General features: G+C 43.1%; 1 long non-coding RNA gene across 1 annotated transcript in view; it reads left to right on the top strand.

The window, feature by feature from the left end:
• Positions 1 to 18,428, top strand: part of LOC285638 (uncharacterized) — an 89,236-nt gene continuing 70,808 nt past the window's right edge. The window contains exons 1-3 of the long non-coding RNA NR_149040.1: positions 1 to 3,374; positions 4,756 to 4,976; positions 5,735 to 6,611. This is a non-coding gene — a long non-coding RNA (uncharacterized LOC285638). The remainder of the gene's footprint in view (positions 3,375 to 4,755; positions 4,977 to 5,734; positions 6,612 to 18,428) is intronic.

Raw genomic sequence — 18,428 nt, 5'->3', positions numbered from 1 at the left:
ATTTTTAAGTCAAATTGTTTATGTAGACAGGAACCCAACAAAAATATTTGCCCAGGACCTTGCGCGCCCTAGAAGTGGCTCTGGAGAAAAGCATTTGCCTACAGAAATAAACCATTTCCTTCCTCAGCCTATATCAGTAACAAAGGTGCAGCTTTGGCCACTATCTGCCACTCCTTTCTCTTATTCCTCTGTTTGTTTAGAAGCGGATCAGGAAAGAGGGACACCATTTCCTCAGATCCCTCAAAGTCCCCAAAAAAGAACTCAATAAGCATTAGCTGTTATCATTTTTCAAGCTTTCAGGTTGTGTTTTATTTTCCGTTTTTCTCCTTTCCTTTCATTCCAAAAAGCCTCCTTTCTTTAATTCTATAAGCTCTTCTTTGGTCCCTGAGAGATTCTTGTTTGTTTATTTTTGTTTGTTTTTTTACAATTATTCCAGAGATCTGGACAATCTCTAGCACAGAAAAAAAAAATTCCCTTCCTTCTTAGCATCCTTCAGTAGTTGGACTCGGTGAAAATTCCACTGCCCCCAGCCCTTTGCAGCACTGCTCTCAAGGCCAGTAGGCTGTACCTGGGCCCTGACTTGAGAGGAAGATCACAAGAGAAGAGCATTCAGTGGGTTAAAAAAAACAGATCCGAAGGATGAAGGGAATCTACCTTCAGATTGGAACCGAAGGTCAAAGGTTCTAGGAATGAAGGTATTCAACATGGCAACGCTGGAAGCAAAGTAAACGTTCAACAGCTGGATGATGATAAAGTAAGTGACCTTGAAACCAATAGGACAACATGGAGCTCATTACGATTATGTTTAGGGAGACCAGGAGGAGACATGGAATAGGGCTTATGTGCAATAAAACAGAGAGGAAAGGAGGAGGCAATTTATAAATGCATGTCCTCTGATTGTGTAAAATTAGGCATCTGTTAAAAAGACGGGAATGAGGTAATAATAGAGTTAACATGTTAGAGTAATTGGATAATAGTATTAGTTGTTTCTTTTCTCTAACTGAATATAATATATTACTTTTATAATTTAGTAAATTTGTTCTTTTCAAAGGAGGTACACCCATGCCTTTCTCCTGGCTATCTGCAGCTCAACAATGAGGGACTTGGGCTCCCCAGGCCTCCATCACACTAAACAGTCCTGGCCGACTATGATACCCTTCCTCTTTTCTCCCTAATTTGTTGTCTATTACAGTTTGCTCCGTGGACGTGTGAAGCAATCTCTGGGGGTGGAGCTGAGGAATCTGCATTATTAACAGTTTCCTGGGAGATTCTTACACACACTAAAGTTTGGACAAAGATTGCTTATTTTTTCTGCCAAAAATCTTAACCACACAGGGACTTGCACGATCTATGTTATTTCTTGAAGCAAAGTTAATCCACCGATATTATGCCTTGTGTGTATGTGTTTTAAGTGCCCAGTGAACACAGTTCCATTTATCCTCAAATATTTTTGTGTAGAAATTTTCGATTATAATTTATTCATGGTTTTTGCTTAGAAAGCCACCTTATAAGCAAGGTATCCTGTCATAGGATCACTACTTTCTTTCCCTCTGTTTTGAGTCCTGCCATAATTAGGGCTGAGTGACTTTTCGGGACACACTTTACTTTGTTTCTTTGATCACAACAGAGAACACAGGACTCTCGGGTCCTGAGGCTGGCTGAAGGGTTTCAGTTTTCCTTAATTGTCTATCATTATAGGACCTGGAAATACCCACTCATGATCCCACTGCTTCCAGCCCTCAAACTAAGAATGGAGTCTCTAGTCGTGCACATTCCTGGGCCTCAGGGCTCACAAGGCAGTGAGGCTGAGGTGGGGCGGCCTGTCTGCGTCTGCGTCCCAGCAGAGCCTCACAGGTCCTCGCTGGCACTGCAGGAAGGAGGCCCCTCTGAGGCGAGGAGTGTTCTGACCTACAAGGCTGTCCAATCTTTTGGCTTCCCTGGGCAACATTGGAAGGAGGAAAATTGTCTTAGGCCACACATAAAATACACTAATGATAGCTGATGAGCTTTAAAAAAAAATGCAAACAAATTTCATAATGTTTCAAGAAAATTTATGAATTTGTGTTGGGCCACATTCAAAGCTATCCTGGGCTGCATGCAGCCTGTGGGCCATGGGTTGGAGAATCTTGCTTTATGATTTTACTCAAGACAGAAACTAAGTGCTAACATTTCCCCCAATCACAATTCTATTTTACCTTTTTAAAAACTCTAAAGGGCAAGAATTTTGCTAATCTTTTCTAGAAATATAAAAACAAGCAAATATGTTTTCTAAAACAAACCAAGGCTTTTCTCCTGGGGAATTTGCAGGCATAGCACGAACTCCTTCCTCACTGCTATTTCTTGAGAGGGGCTGTTAGGCTGTGCTGTGCTCTGCTTAAGGACGAGAGGCCAGGTACACAGCCTGAGAGGCCAGTCATTGTGCCATGTTGTTGTCAGGAGTTCCCAGTGTCCATCTTGATAAGGCTTTGCTAAAACATACTAATACAAACTTCCATTACCTCCTGTGTTTCTAAATAAACATACCAAGTTATTTTAAGACTCATGTTTTCCTTTATAATCATTTGAAATTTCTGCCTAGTGTGAAACAACCATCTAGATTCTCACAGAATTCATGAATAATACTGAAATCCACTCTCCTAAACAGCAGCAGTTTCAAGTAAGTCGTGCAGTAAACACAATGTCCAAATTTATTTTTAAAGCTTTGAAGATAAATGATGAAGCCTCCTATGAGATTATCTTTTATGTAGCGGAAGAAAAGAATCCTTGAGGGTCAAGTTGCTAGGGCAGTCACAGAAGCCAGAGCCATGGGCCAGGAGGTCCTGAGGCCTCTCTGAAGGATGTGCGTGGTCATCCACTATGGGTGCAGCTGGTGTTGAGAAACTAAGCTGATGCACCACCTCTGTTGTTCCAAGGCTAGACCAACAGTGGGCATTCTCTAGATCTATTGTCTCCTTTACGTATTAGGGGGAAAACCACTTCTACTGTGCAGGGATCTGCCCCTTTAAACACATAAATACCACTTAATCCACTGCCCTCAACAGAGGAAATGACCACTGGCCTGGAGGCCTCCAAAATTCCTTCTCTTTTTCTTTCTTTCAAGTCAAAGGTCATGGTTCATTTCGAGTTCCAATGCTATTTTCTAAATTTTGTTTTAATCCAGATCTCATGACTTATTTCTCATTCTCTTTCCTTCCTGAACAATTCAGTGCTAAAACCATTAGGTAGGGCAGAGCGAAGACTGTATGGGCGCCAGGGTGAAGGAAACCACAGTGGCACAGAGTGCAGTGCCTGCATCAGGACAGGGTCAGGAGGCAGTCCTGCAGAGGGGCAGCTCAGCATGGTGTGTTCAAGTCCTACAGAGTATTGGAGCCCAAGTAAGTATGGACAGTGTCCCTGAAGAGAATGGCCCAGCACAGAGAATCGAACCCCAAGCTGAGGATGCCAGGCAGTGGGAGGGAGAGGGTGGAAGTCGGGGGGGCTGCTGCAGGGTGTCAGAGCCACACTGGGTGAGGAAGGCATCCCCGTAGGGGCAGCTCAGTTATAGAGAGCTAGGACCCACAAGAGGTGAGTACAGGGGAGCACATGGCGATGGGTCAGTGGGAGGTTGGTTACATCCAGGGGATTTGATAAAATACAAAATATATTAATCATATGGAATTGAGATTTTTCACCATTAGTGAAGGGAGTTACAAATGTGGAGAGGGAGAAAATGAGATGGAAGCCACGGTGTTGAATGGGAATTTAATGTATCAGTGTGAATCCATGGTTTTCCGTATCCATAGATGTATAAATGTAGCTCTAAATGTGTGTGTGTAGACAGATGTTAGGGGTGGCAGGTATCCAAGTTACCCCCAAGTTACCAGCGGCAAATCTCAATTCTTGCCTCCTCAGAAAAAAGAATTTGACTGAGGGGCATAAGGTAGAAGGAGAGACCAAGGCAAGTTTCAAAGCAGGAGTAAAACTTTATTAAAAAGCTTTAGAACAGGGAGGAAAGGAAAGTACAGCTTGGAAGAGGGCCAAGCGAGCAACTTGAGAAACCAAATGTGCAGCCTGACCTGTTGACCTAGGGTTTTATATGTTGGCATACTTCCGGGATCTTGCTTTACTTCACCCCACTCCTGAGATCTTATTGGGAAGCTGCTGACCAGTTTCAGATGTTTTCTATCTATTAGGAGACTACCTCTCCCTGCCGCTGGCTGTGACCAATTATTCAGAGAAACAGTTAACAACCGCCTGACCATCACCTGCTGGTTGCCTGACACTCCTGGTGTGTGTTGAGGGGGAGCCCTCCACCGCCCTGCTCATGCCTGCCTAGCTACCTACTGTAACACAGATCCAGTGCCTACCTCTGTCGGCTGAGATGCCTAGGAGTAGTGATAATCCTAATACCCGGATCTCGATCTCTAAAAATCACCTTCCACTAAAAGAAACCAGGGCTTATTGGAGAAATAGCTGATTTCAGGGTTGGGAAAAGAAAAGATGAGCCTAGGACATCTTGAGCCAGAAAAGGAAGTGATCAAAGAATGATGGAAACATATCACAAAGACTAGAAGCTGGCTAGAAAGGGCCCTTACTGGCCAAACGGGACAATTTGTGCAACAAACTAAACAATAATGAAAGGTTATAACCCGTTGAACAAAATAGGAAATGTAAATCCACTCAGATATAAGTAAAGAAGTGAATAAAATAAAGTTTGATAAATGGGATACTTACATAATTTCAAACGATTTCTCCACCAACACCTGTTAATTACAGAGGAGAAAAGTAACTTTACAATGGGAATGGCTGGCAGACATCACCTGACTCAAGTGTCAAAGTGAAGAAACATCATCAATGATGTTTCCATTAAATGGAAATCCTGTGCCACCTGACAAGAGGCATTTAGGACTTCTGTGATATTCCCTCTAAAGATGCATCACCTGAATCTGACTATGAAGAAACATCAGAAAAACTCAAATTGAGGAACACTCTGCAAGGTAACTAGCCTGTAATCCTCACAGATTCAAGGTCAGAAAAGACAAAAATGAGAAACTGTTTCAGACTAAAGTTGACCTAAGGGACGTGACAAATGCAGTGCATGATTCAGAACTGGAGCCTTTTGCCATAAAAGACACGTAGGAGACAATTGGCTAAAATGGAAGGAAGGCTGAGGTTTAGATGGCAACAATATGTAAGGGTTACTTTTCTGATTTTGATAGTTACATCATGTTTCTACAGGAGAATGTCCTTGTTTGTAGGAAATACATACTAAAGTATTTAGAGGTGATGGGAATCAGGTTGGTGAATTACAAATAGATCCAGGAAAAAGGAGTTATTTGTCACATACTTATAACATTTCTGTAAGTTTGTGATTATTTCAAAATAAAACAATTAACTTAGAAGCACATTACACTTGTTCCCATCCTACATTGAGCCATTTTGAACCTGGGCCATGTCGATAACTAGGAGAGGAAATGTTACCTGCTCATAGAAGTCATCTGCCAGAATTTTCTTATTATTGACTTGTGTAAAATTAGGTTGACAACTTAATCTGGGAAAAAACATCACAGCCACCTTTTCTTGTAATGCTTTCCTGAGTGTTGGCTAAATACAATGAAGTTAATACAACTTAGAAAAGCAAAACCCCCTTCTAAGAAGGACTCAAGGGATAAATTTTCACCACGATGTTCAGCATGAGATTATCTTCCATAAGCGTGCATCCCTCCCCTAATTAGCTTCCTGACCTTCTTTCTAGTTCCCTCAAAACCCTGGCAATGGCAACTAAAAAGATGGCTTTTGTGAGAAGAGCGATTGGTGTCCACACCTGCTGGTGCTGAGCACAAGACAATGCACATGTGTTCTCTTGAAGGAAGAAACTTTAGAAACGTCATCTTCAAGGTGTCAATGACTTGTCTACTATAGCTGCTGCCTCAGCGTCCACTTTTAGACCCGGCATCAGCTGTGTGAAACCCAGTCGCACCCTGCCACCTTTGGTCTAGGTGTGACTTCTCTTCCTTAGAGGGGCATGATAGAGCTCGTGTGTTTCTTTTCTTTTTTTTCTTTTTGTTTTTGAGATGGAGTCTTGTTCTGTCACCCAGGCTGGAGTGCAGTGGCACCATCTTGGCTCACTGTAACCTCTGCCTCCCAGTTCAAGCAATTCTCCTGCCTCAGCCTCCCAAGTAGCTGGGACTACAGGCATGAACCACCACGCCTAGCTAATTTTTGTATTTTTAGCAGAGATGGGGTTTTACCATGTTGGCCAGGCTGGTCTCAAACTCCTGACCTCAAGTGATCCACTTGCCTCAGCCTCCCAAAGTGCTGGGATTACAGGCATGAACCACCATGCCTGGAGGAGCCCATGTGTTTCTCATCTCACCAACCCAAAGCCCAACTCACTCCACAGCTGCTGACCATGAGGAAACCTAAGGTCAACACCGGAGTCAGGCAAATAAGCCACCCCCCCACCCCCACCCGCATACACACTTGTTTTATTTAAACTGGCCAATCCACAACTGCCAGAGGAAAGCCCGTGGGCCTTCATGGAGGCCTAGTCTCAAGCCCTCACTCTCCCTTCCCACCTGCCGGTCGAGTGCCCTGCTGTCTCTGGACTTCCCATCGGCCCTCAGGGACGTGTAAGTAATAAAATGCTTCTCTCATTTCATATATTTTGTTTTGTGGCCCCCTCTGTGTCTCACCTGACCAACATACCTGAATCTAATTCTCCCGCTCAGGGTTTTCCCAGAGAGTGACTATCCTGGTAGGAATAAACTAGACCCAGGCCAGAAAAGAGCCACAAGGGCTTCTGCCAGTGTTTCCTGTGAGAGGGACACCTGGTCATGGGTCACACTTAGGCATTAGGCCGTCCACGAGGATAAAGAAGTATCCTGGCTGGGTGCAGTGGCTCGTGCCTGTAATCCAGTACTTTGGGAGGCTGAGGCAGGTGGATTGCCTGAGCCCAGGAATTCGAGACCAGCCTGGACAGCGTGACAAAACTTCCCCACTACAAAAAATTAGCCAGGAGTGGTGGCGCATGCCTGTAGTCCCAGCTACTTGGAAGGCTGAGGTGGGGGGATTGCTTGAGCCCAGGAGGGGGAGGTTTCAGTGAGCCAAGATCATGCCACTGCACGACCACTTCCCCTGGAGCCTCCTCAGGACAGGGCTAGAGTTTACAGACACTCTCCAGAGCAGCCTCAAGACCAAATCAGAGGAAAATCACAACATAAGGGTAGATAAGGTGCTGAAAGCGATGGCGGTGGTAATTAGCTCTGAGGAGGAAGGTGGAAATGAAGAGCTTATTTTGGTAACTGCTCCTACATGCTGATGGCTTAACCTAAGGTAATCTGTGCCTTCCAGTTTTAGGATCTCATCCAGAGTCATTATAATATGGGCGGGGGTACACTGACTTTGGGTTCGGTCCAAGGTTCAAATTCTGGCTTTATTTATTTTGCTGACTGTCTACATTTAGTATCCTACTTAATCTGTCATCAGCTGTGCTAGGTACTGCTAGTACCTCCACTCTCCATTCACCACTTCTTTCTTACTTCAGTCTTGTTCAGGTGATGCTATATCTAGCCTTTCTGCCTCTGTGCTGGTTACATGAGAAAATAAACACTTTTCTTGTAGAAAGCCACTGTAGTTATATCTCACTGTGAAACACAAACATAACTGATGGGTTGCATAACTGATGAGTTATCTATAAAAATGGGGTTAATGCGGGAGGCGGAGGTTGCTGTGAGCCGAGATTGCGCCACTGCACTTCAGCCTGGGCAACAAGAGCAAAACTCTGTCTCAAAAAAAAAAGTGGGGGCGGTTAATGATGCCTACCTCAAAGGGCTGAATGAAAGGTTAGATCAAATAACGTGTAAGTGCCTCTAAGTGGTAGAAGAGAAAGTTGAATACATGCTGCTTTCTCGATTCCTTCCCTCAACCAATTTAATCCTGTCCAAAGAGGGACATGCTTTCCGTTGATATCCTATTTCCACTTTCCCCAGTTCCATGCTTGATTCAGCAAGCTGGCTAAAGTAACCACATTCAAGTTTGGCTGGCTAGGAACCTGCAGGTGTTCAACAACACAAAGGGAACTCTAAGTGATGTCATTTTAGGGGATTATGGGGAGGACATTTTGTGGTAGTAGTTGGGGACTCGGAGAAAGCTGTTGAAGGTTCTAGGAGTCCTCAGCCATCCATTTGAGCCACCAGTCATCCTGTAACTGGCATGATGATGGGGAAGACCTTGCCACCCAGCTTTGTAAACTCTTCTGAAGAAGCCTGTGCTTCCAATGAGTTTTCTCAACTTAGCAGTTAGGATTAAATCTGTGAGATTTTTATGGGGAGGACATATCTCTTAGAAATTCAGCCAGGTGCGATGGCTCGCACCTGTAATCCCAGCACTTTGGGAGGCCGAGGGGGCAGATCACTTGAGGTCAGGAGTTTAATACCAGCCTGGCCAACATGGTGAAACTCCATCTCTACCCAAAAAAAAAAAAAAAAAAAAAAAAAGGCTGGTCATGGTGGCACGCACCTGTAAACCCAGCTACTCCAGAGGCTGAGGCATGAGAATCACTTGAACCTGGCGGGGCAGAGGGTGCAGTGAGCTGAGATCATGCCACTGCACTCCAGCCTGGGTGACAGAGCAAGACCCTGTCTCAAAAAAAAAAAAAAAAAGTCTGTCATTACTATTGTCTACCTTCAGCATTTTGTAAGGCAAAGCTATCCATATTAAAGTAGTGGGCCAATGACCTAAAGTTCATATTTTTACTACATATAATAAGACAGGTCTCACAGTTTCATAAAAATATACTTACAGGTTTCATGCTGGTTGTTTAGTTTTGATTAAGTGAAAATATTAATACTTAGCTTACAAAATATTCTTGAACTGTAAGATCTTTTTCAGGCAGGATACACCTCAATTCTAATCCCAGGTTTAGTTCATTGGTTGTTCTCCCATTTTACTTTAGTGGCTTTTTTGGAAGATAGATTTCTCAGAGCCTCATTGACCAGAATTAGATTCCAGAGAACTGGGGTTCATACCTTCTTGCACCTTCCTTAGGATTTGGGGAATCTCTTTGTTGGGTAGTCTCTGAACAGCACCCCTGGAGTCATGCAACACAAGCACCAGTTGTAGTTATTCTCAGCAGTTTTTGAAATTTGGTCAACTAAGAAACAGTTGCCTGATATGCTCATCCTGAAATATATTCAAAACTCAAGGGCAAGTACATTTAATCGCGATTATTTTGTTCTAAGTGATAGAAACTGAGTCTAAGCTGGAACTAAGCAGGGAATTTATTGCCTCACAGAGCTGAAGAGTCAGGGGTCACCTGGCATTCAGCATGGCTGGGTTCGGGGCTTAAATGGGGCCTCTAGGATTCAGTTTCTCTTCAATGTCTGACTGTCTTCATCCTCAGTCTTCTCCAGATGATGCCTGAAATCTCCCTGTTCTGCTTTCAAGGTAGTAAAGCAGCTACATCCTCACACCCTCCTAGGTTTGGCTCTAGAAAGTTTCTTCAGTAGCCTCCCAGAAAGTCCAGCGACTCACCATCCACTCTGGTCACACCCATTAGTCTTTGAGTCACTGTAACCAAAAGGAGATGGTGTCATGATTGGCGTGATTAAATCCAGAGTCACGTGTTTGAGCAGAGTCCACCCCATGGAGCCTTGGATGGTGTCCCACAGGCCGATAATGGAGAAGGGATGGATCCCAATGAAAAATGGGAGCTACTACTAAAAAGGGAGAAATAAATGCTGGGGAAGCAAGTAACAAAAATGTCCATCCTTACATAGCCATTAGAACCTCCAGATGTCTTCTGAGACTGTTAATTTACTTTCACTTCAGTGTAATTTTTGAAAATCTGATTTTAATCTCATGGCAGTTCAATAGAAAGTAATTCCTATTGTCAGTTACTTTATGTTCAGTTTTAATCTAAATACTGGCACATACTTGAATTGGTAAACGATACCCCCCACCCCACCTTTTTTTTTTTTTTTTTTGAGATGGTCTCACTTTGTTGCCCAAGCTGGAGTGCACTGGCATGATCTCGGCTCACTGCACCCGCTGTCTCCCAGGTAAAAGCAATTCTCGTGCCTCAGTCTCCTGAGTAGCTGGGATTACAGGTGTGTGCCACCACGCCTAGCTAATTTTTGTAGTTTTAGTAGAGACAGGGTTTTACCATGTTGGCCAGGCTGGTCTAGAACTCCTGGCTTCAAGTGATCTGCCCTCCTCCACCTCCCAAAGTGCTGGGATTACAGGCGTGAGCCACCGTGCCCAGCCTGCTCATTGTTCTTCTATACAGCTTCAATCATTCACATGTCTCTTACCATCTGTTACGAAGTATGGTCTGCTCAGGAGCCCAACAAACTTGATCTCCTGGAGTCCTTTAAAATTCCAAAAATTTCTGAGAAATCAGCTCAGTAAATTGCTTTAACAAGTTTCCATGTCCTAGCCTCTGATTCTATTTGAATTAACAGTCTCCATAACCTGCTTCAAGTTTTTACATAAAGTTCTCAAACCCCACACTGACAGACAGGTTCTATTTGGCTAAGAGTGCTAAATAAAAAATAACTTCCTAAAACCCTTGGCTTTAGCCCATCCACCACTGAACCTTGTCACTCAAGCTTTCATGAGTTCAGCCATACACTAATGTAGAACTATCATGCCAGATTTCCCTGAGTCCCTCCATTCCTGATGAGCAGATGATGAATAAATGCAACTCAAATCTTCTAAGTCCATCAAAGGAGATTCTAAAGAGCCTTGAAAGTGGAGCTGGTCCATCAAAACAATTTATTTCTTCTATTTGCTATTACAAGAATATCACATTGAGGTTTTCTTAGTTTACTGTTTAGTCTTTAATAAAGTTACAGCTATGATGATGCCAAGGTTTGGAATAATTGTATAAGAGGCCAAGTTACTGTTCTCAGAAAGCCGACTCACTCTACCCATATTAAATAGTACATGCTATTTTTGTTTTCCTAGCCTGATGAGTACAATGATATTTTAGTCATCATTACTTATATAGGATAGTAGTTAGTGATGTTTTAAGTCCTTAAAAATAGATTCAGCTGAGTGCCCAGTATTTCTAATGATTTGCAATTGTATATACATCATTAAGTATTCCATACAGCATCCTGACTCCCCTGAAACCATAAACTCAAAAAATCTTTTTTCTTTTTTCTTTTCTATTTTTTCTTTCTGTTTTTTCTTTTCTGTTTTTTTTTTCTATTTTTTCCTTTTCCATTTTTTCCTCTTCCATTTTTTCCTTTTCCATTTTTTTCTTTTCTTTTTTTCTTTTTGATACAGAGTATTGCTCTTGTTGCCCAGGCTGTAGTACAATGGCGCCATCTCGGCTCACAGCAACCTCCACCTCCCGGGTTCAAGCGATTCTCCTGCCTCAGCCTCCCAAGTAGCTGGGATTACAGGCATGTGCCGCCACACCCAGCTAATTTTGTATTTTTAGTAGAGACAGGATTTCTCCCTGTTGGTCGGGCTGCTCTCAAACTCCCAACCTCAGGTGATCCACCTGCCTCAGCCTCCCAAAGTGCTGGGACTTTGGGAGCCACTGCACCCAGCCTCTGTATTTCTGTAAAATAAGTTTCAAGGAGTTTCTGGAGAGTAGATTGTGTGTTAGAATAGATGGATTACCTACCTACGTTTCAACACTGACGACAGGTAACAGTTCAAAGACTTCCCCCTGCACCGCCCACCCCCCGCTGCACCCCGCATTTAATCTAATCTTCTACTTTTATTCCCCACTGAGAATTCAATCAGAAACCAGAGAATGTGAGTGCTGGGAGCAACTTTAGGAACCATGTGAAAGACCTTAGATTCGAGGTTTGGACTCTTGAATTGAAGGAAATGTATGAGCACACGTCCTCAGAACATGTCCATTAAAGCATTTATACAGAACCCCTTGGATCCCACAAAAATCTGGTTTTCTTGGGCTTGGAGGACAAAGTGACTTGTTCAAGACCAGAGTGCAAGCTGGAGTTAGGACTCAAGCCTAAAGTATAGGGTGTCCTCGATAAGTCCAGAGTTCATTACTTACAGCCTTGCTGCTGTTGCTCGTTGACATGAGGGACTTGAAAGATATTATCTAATAGACCGAACAGTCATGAAATTATTCCCTGTTCAAATATTCTCCATTTCGTGTTGATTCCCACCAATCATATCAGTGTCTTTATTTAGGTTCCAGTATGATTCGTGGTCTGGAATATTCAACAATGCACTGTTAACACAATGTCAATTGATCTGCAAAATAAAAATGTAAATCTTGTGAAATATTCAGGATTTCATAGAAGTAATGTCTGATGGAAGTGAATGGAACTGCTCAAAATTGCACATGCTGAGGCTTTCAAAAGTGAGGCTAAGTCATCCTCTTTGTGGTCATGTTGCAAAAAATCAAGCATTAAGTAAAATATGGTATATGCTGAACTACAATTTTGTTGGAAAGTTATACAAAAATGTAGTTTTTTAGTTCTATCAAACCTTTGTTTTCATCACGTACTATGAAATTCTGGTTGCTATTGTGAGTGAATTCACCTTAAGTAGCTTTTATTCTTTTACCCATTCTTAGATAATGAATATTTCCTGTGTTTCATTCCAACTTCAAGAAGCAGACCTTTTTATGTGTTGATCTTTAGCTACATCTTTCTTACTCCAAAGTTCCTTGAGAACTCATTTTACAAATCTCCAGGATTTTTTATCAGGTTCTTAGATATGGAGTGGTGGTGATGACCCCTGGGAAATAAAATTGTTGTGCTACAAATTGAGTACATTTTGATTAACTCAGAACATTTCTGAAATTCCATGTGCAGTGTCACTCAGTATTCTGAAAAGTGTCATTGAAACCAAAGGGCATAGACGGGAAATAGATGAATTCTAGGTTACTTATTAAATGTGTCTTACAGATTTTTATAAAGTCTTATGTAGTTTGGATAATTTGTGACTATGCATGCTTCTGTTTCTAGATATTTTAATCATTAATTTACAGTATAAAACAAAGACATGCTGTTTGATAATCTAAGAACAGATAACAAAATTACCTTTATAACTAGATTGTTTGGGTTTACCCAGCAGAATGGAATTTCCACTAATTTGAACCAGGAAATAACTAGCAATTTCTCACTGGGACTTCACAATGGCAATCAAATCCACAGACTTGAATTAAGGCATGTCAGGCATCTCTCTTGCTTAGCTGTTCAACATTTCCAAAGTGTTTTTGCCCCAAAACATTTAAGCCTGAGTGTCAGCGGTAACATAGGCCTATCGGTAGGGTACATTATAATTTATTTAAACTGGTGCAGTTTTGAGAGGGGCATTCTTAATTACACTGTGACAACAGCTGTAAACAAGGACTGTCCCAGCAAACAAGAACTTGTGACTACTCTACCTACTGATGACCTGTTTGTTGCTCAGCAACCAGAGAACCTGACTCTCATTATTTACAAAGCCCCCAATGTACACTCAACCCCATCTGCTTGAGACCCGAGTCCTACCTTATTTGGGTATACAGCCTTTGAAGGCAGTCTCCCCAGGAGCCCAGTATACAGAAGGAGGCAAGCTATGCTGTCAAAGGGTCAGACAGCGTCCCAGCCCTCTGGGCTCTCACCTCTGCTTACTTCCTTGTCCATTTTGATTGAAACACTTCTAAGAGTGTTTTAATCACTCTTAAACTTCTAAGAGATCAAGGCTGAATGATGTAGCAGGATTAAAATTGGCTAATCTCATCTGAGCACAGAACATGAAGTGGTATCTGTGTGTGAAATGATGAAATGGGGAACTAAAGTGGAATATTATGATTTCTGCTATTTCACTAATGGTGAAAACCATTTCATTAAGGCTGGCCAATGGTGAACTTCTTTGAGCCCCTGTTTCTCCTATGTAAAATGGTTACGGTGATAACCTGTATCATCTGATGGCTTGTGACAAGGTCTCAGACTGCTCATTGCCCCCTACATCTACTCTCCTCTTCCTTCTCGTAACAAAACTCGCCAAGTTTTAATTGGGCATACATTCCCCAAACTAGCTTCTCCTATATCTCTTGTGAAGGCGGTGTGTGCAACTTCCCCATCATGTCTTCCTAAGGAAGCTTTGGGCTGTCCACTCCCTCTTTCCCCCTTTCAACTGGCTAGGAAATGCCAACAACTGGGACAGCCAACTTGGATCCAGGGATGGACATCACTTTCTGACTGACAGACACTGAATTCTGTAATAACATGTGAGAGAAAAATGTTTATTTAAGCTACTGTACTTGTGGGGGTTGGGAGCTTCCCAATCACAGCCATAAAACATATAAGCAGCAATAGTGGATTTGTAAAGCCAATGACTTAGCTTCAAGAGGTGTATGTTATAGTCCTGTTGCTTGCATATCCTTGGACATCTTTAAGTTCTGGGATACATGTGCAGAACGTGCAGGTTTGTTACGTAGGTATACATATGCCATGGTGGTGTGCTGCACCTATCAATACATCACGTAGGTTTTAAGCCCCGAATGCATTAGATACTTGTCCTAATGCTCTCCCTCCCCTTGCCCCTTGCCCTACCCCCTCACGCCCCCCGCCAGGCCCTGGTGTGTGATGTTCCCTTCCCTGTGTCCACATATTCTCATTGTTCAAATCCCACTTATGAGTGTGAACATGTGGTGTTTGGTTTTATGTTCCTGTGTTAGTTTGCTGAGAATGATGGTTTGCAGCTTTGTGGTGATTCCTCAAGGATCCAGAACTAGAAATACCATTTGACCCAGCAATCCCATTACTGGGTATATACGAAAGAATTATAAATCTTTCTATAAAGACACATCCACACATAGGTTTATTGCAGCACTATTTACAATAGCAAAGACTTGGAGCCAACACAAATGCCCATCCTTGGACATCTTTAAACTTCACGTTGCTCATCTTCAAATATAAGTACAAATAACACTTGACACATGGGCAAGTATAAAATAATGAATATACCCTACTGTTACTACTTTTCAGAGCCAGGTTTCATCTCCATGAATTCATTCATTTGGAAAACATTTAAGGATCCAGATACTACTTGAGGCACAGTTATCTAGCATTGCCTAAGATAGCAAAAGTTTCCAGCCCTCATGTGGACAGAGTAAACCAATAACAAATATCAGACAGTGATGAATCTTACAGTGACAATAAGACAAGGTGGTGATTCAGAGATTGAATGGGGAACCATGATGGGGCATGATCAGAAAAAGGACTCGGACATTTCTGTTGAGTGAATAACAGGAACCAATCCGTAAAGATCTACAGGGAGAAGATTCCAGATGGAATACCTAGGGCAAAGAACCTATGGGGGAAAGAATGTAACTTGTCAAAGAAAAAGCCAGTGTGGCTGGGGCTGAGTGAGAACATGGTGGATAGTAGAAAATCTTATCAGAGGAAGAAGGAGGCCATTGTCTGTCTACACAGTTCATGGATTCAGGGCAAATGAGAAATCATTAGGGGACTTTAAACAGAGATAATACAGAGACAGCAGCCCATGCAGACTTCCTCAGATGTGAATACTACATACACCTAAGTGCAGGCAGCTCATGTGGAAACCAATTTTATAAGTCAGACAGCTTCTTAAAATGGGGACCAGGTTCTAGGTGCCAGGCATCTGAGAGCACATGAGGATATCGGAAAAATGTTTCAACCCAGGGCTGATACTGTTGCTAATTGTCCTTTATCCTTAAGGAGGTTAGTAGCTTGGAATTTGATGTCAGAAACAACTGGCTTTGAATCCAAGCTGCTGTACCACTAGATGTGACCTTAGATAAAACACCCTGCCTCTGAGAGTTTCACTTGTCCTCATCCATAAAATGTGGGAAATAACATCCATCAAAGCAGTGCTGTAAGGCCTTGACAAAAGATTATGGTAAATCGCCTGGCACATTGTAAATACTCAGTAAAAAGGTATATGTAGTTAAAGTTTTTCTACAGTCTTAGAACTCATTAAAAAATCATGAGGCCAGTCCCTCACTCCACAGAAGTGCTGAGGCAGGAACTGAAGAGTTCAGGACTCTCCTGCCACCCCGCCTGGGACCTGTTAAAATCCTCTTACGCTCCCACCTGCACCCACCTTCCTCCAGAGCCCACACTGCCTTCTCCCGCCTGCGAACTCCTGTCCCACCGATGAGCTCTGCAGTGCTCTGCCTGGCAGCTTAGCGCTTATTTTGGCATTCTGTGTGGGGATCCCTAGTCTTCCCAATCAATTAAGGGCACCCTGAAAGAAGGGACCATTTACCATGCTTCACCTGTGTCTTCCAAGGTGCTTTCACTTATAGAAGGTGTTTAGCAAGTAACATGTCTGAACGAAGGAATGAACACAGATGAATGGGAGCATTCAGTGGATCACCCCTGTCTCCCTCCATCCTTGTCACTTGCTGCATATCTTCCACTTGCCTTGGGATCCTGTGGCCAACCTGCTCTGTGCCCCTGGAGGCTACCTCAGCGGGCTCCCTTGCCTTCTGGCTTCTGATGGGGTTTGGCTGACAGGAGCTGCTGGCAGGAGACTGGAGAGTGGGCAGAGGGCGAGCTCTGGGCTAGGCCAGCTCCACTTGCAGCTGTTCTTCCTGGGATGGTGTAACTGTTCCATCCCCCCTCTGACCAAGAGTAGTGACTCCCTGCTGTTGCTAGCCCTGGAAATTTCCTTCTAGTTCCTAACACCGTGCCCACATCACTGTGAGTAGTTTTTAAAACTCTTCAAATTACCCAGCTTAGCTCTGCCATCTTTTCCCCCCCGCCAAAGAAAATGATACATCCCACACATTATGTCAGGCAAATATACCACACCAGGTAGAACTAAATGTACTCTAGTCTAGAGGAGGATTTGGACTTTTATTCTAGGAGAACAGATGCCACTGCTTCCCTTGGTAAACCAAGGGACACCCACCAGGTGTCTGTGAGCCTGCTATGACTGAGACAAACAAATTCAGATGAAGCTGTTCATTGTCTTGAACTGAGTTGTTCGTGGGAATTGCAGAACTTAGCAGACATGAACCATTGCTGACAGTTAAATGGTTTTTACAAGAATAAAATAAGTCACTTCATGGAATAAACTAAAAATACTCTTGAAAGCGTATATTGTGCGTGAGTTTTTCTACTCCAAGTTGCCAGGCTGTGGGTGTTAAACACTTTAGAAGATTTGGTCTGTCATGTTTAGACAGTGGGTGGCAAAAAATTCTAAGTTAAAAAAAAAAAACCAAGATACCCACTCCATTGTCTCCTAAGTGTAAATTGTAAAAGATTGTTTACAAAGACATTTTTGCTGGGCATGGTCGAGACTAGCTGACCACTCCCAAGGGAGGACAGGTTACCTGTGGAATAGATCTTCAAACCATCCCCATCCTGGCACTCCAGTCTCTACCTCGATCACTCTTGCAACTGATTGCCATGAAGACAGGGCATTCTCTGTCAAATACAATCTTAGAAAGGGCCAAGGAAGGTCCAGTGAATTTGGATTTCTACAGGGAAAATAGCTGCTTTTCATTTGTAACATTGATCTGTCAGAAGATGAGAGTGTTATTAGAGATCAATGAGAAGCAAAAGGAGGAAGAGAAGACAAGCAGGCTTTTGATCAATTAGCCCAGGAAGTCACATTGCACTGACACCGGCTTAATAAATATCTCTCTTTGGTTCCCTGACTTGACAGCACGGAGCTCTGGACACTGCATGGAGTACCTACTTGCTGTGTAGTGAAGAGCCCTACCCCACCTGGCACTGGCCCACCATCCGCTCTTCCCTACCACCTTCCCAGCTTCCTCATATGGATGATATGCAGTTGCCTGTGACTCAGTTTGAGGCTGACCCAAGTGACCTCTCCACAAGGCGAGCACAGCTCGCAGACCACCAGCTCTTCTTGGTGCTCATTGCTCTGGTGGGGAGGGGAGGGGACCTTATGCTGGGTCAGGTGCTGCATTCACTCCACATTCCAAGTCTCGTGAGAAGCAGCCACGGGCTAGTCACATATTTCCCTTCTCTTCCCAGCTTTAAAGCCAGTTATTTTCTATTTATTCGATGAAAGTTCTAGGCATTGGGGAGTATATCCTTGACCCAATCAAATTAGTTCTGTCTCATTCCAGGCAGGGGAGTTAGGTAATAAATGAACAAAACAACTATGAAGTCCAATCACTTCCCTCTTCCCTGATTTCAAAGAAAGACAAAAACAATTTTTTATATGTGAAAATTAAAGCCAGGCCCTTGGCCACCACTACAACAATCTCTGCTGCCAGACACAGCCACACCCTATCCTAGAGAGACACTGAAGTCAGACCTGAGGAAGCAGTCTAAATTGCAGATGCATTTGGGGGCCGAAAGTTAATATAGAATCTAGTGCCGTCGGAGCATCTGACCTGTAGGCAGGACTTAGCCCTCTTCAGCATGGAGAAACCCATATAGTTTCCAGAGATTCCTGGAAGGGAATATTTGTGTCTGTCCTCAGTAACATAGTTGAAGTTAGAT

The sequence above is a fragment of the Homo sapiens genome, chromosome 5 (genome assembly GCF_000001405.40).
Source record: "Homo sapiens chromosome 5, GRCh38.p14 Primary Assembly".
Taxonomy (NCBI): Eukaryota; Metazoa; Chordata; class Mammalia; order Primates; family Hominidae; genus Homo; species Homo sapiens.
The sequence above is the reverse complement of the archived record's forward strand: the minus strand, read 5'-3'. Positions and strand labels throughout refer to the sequence as shown.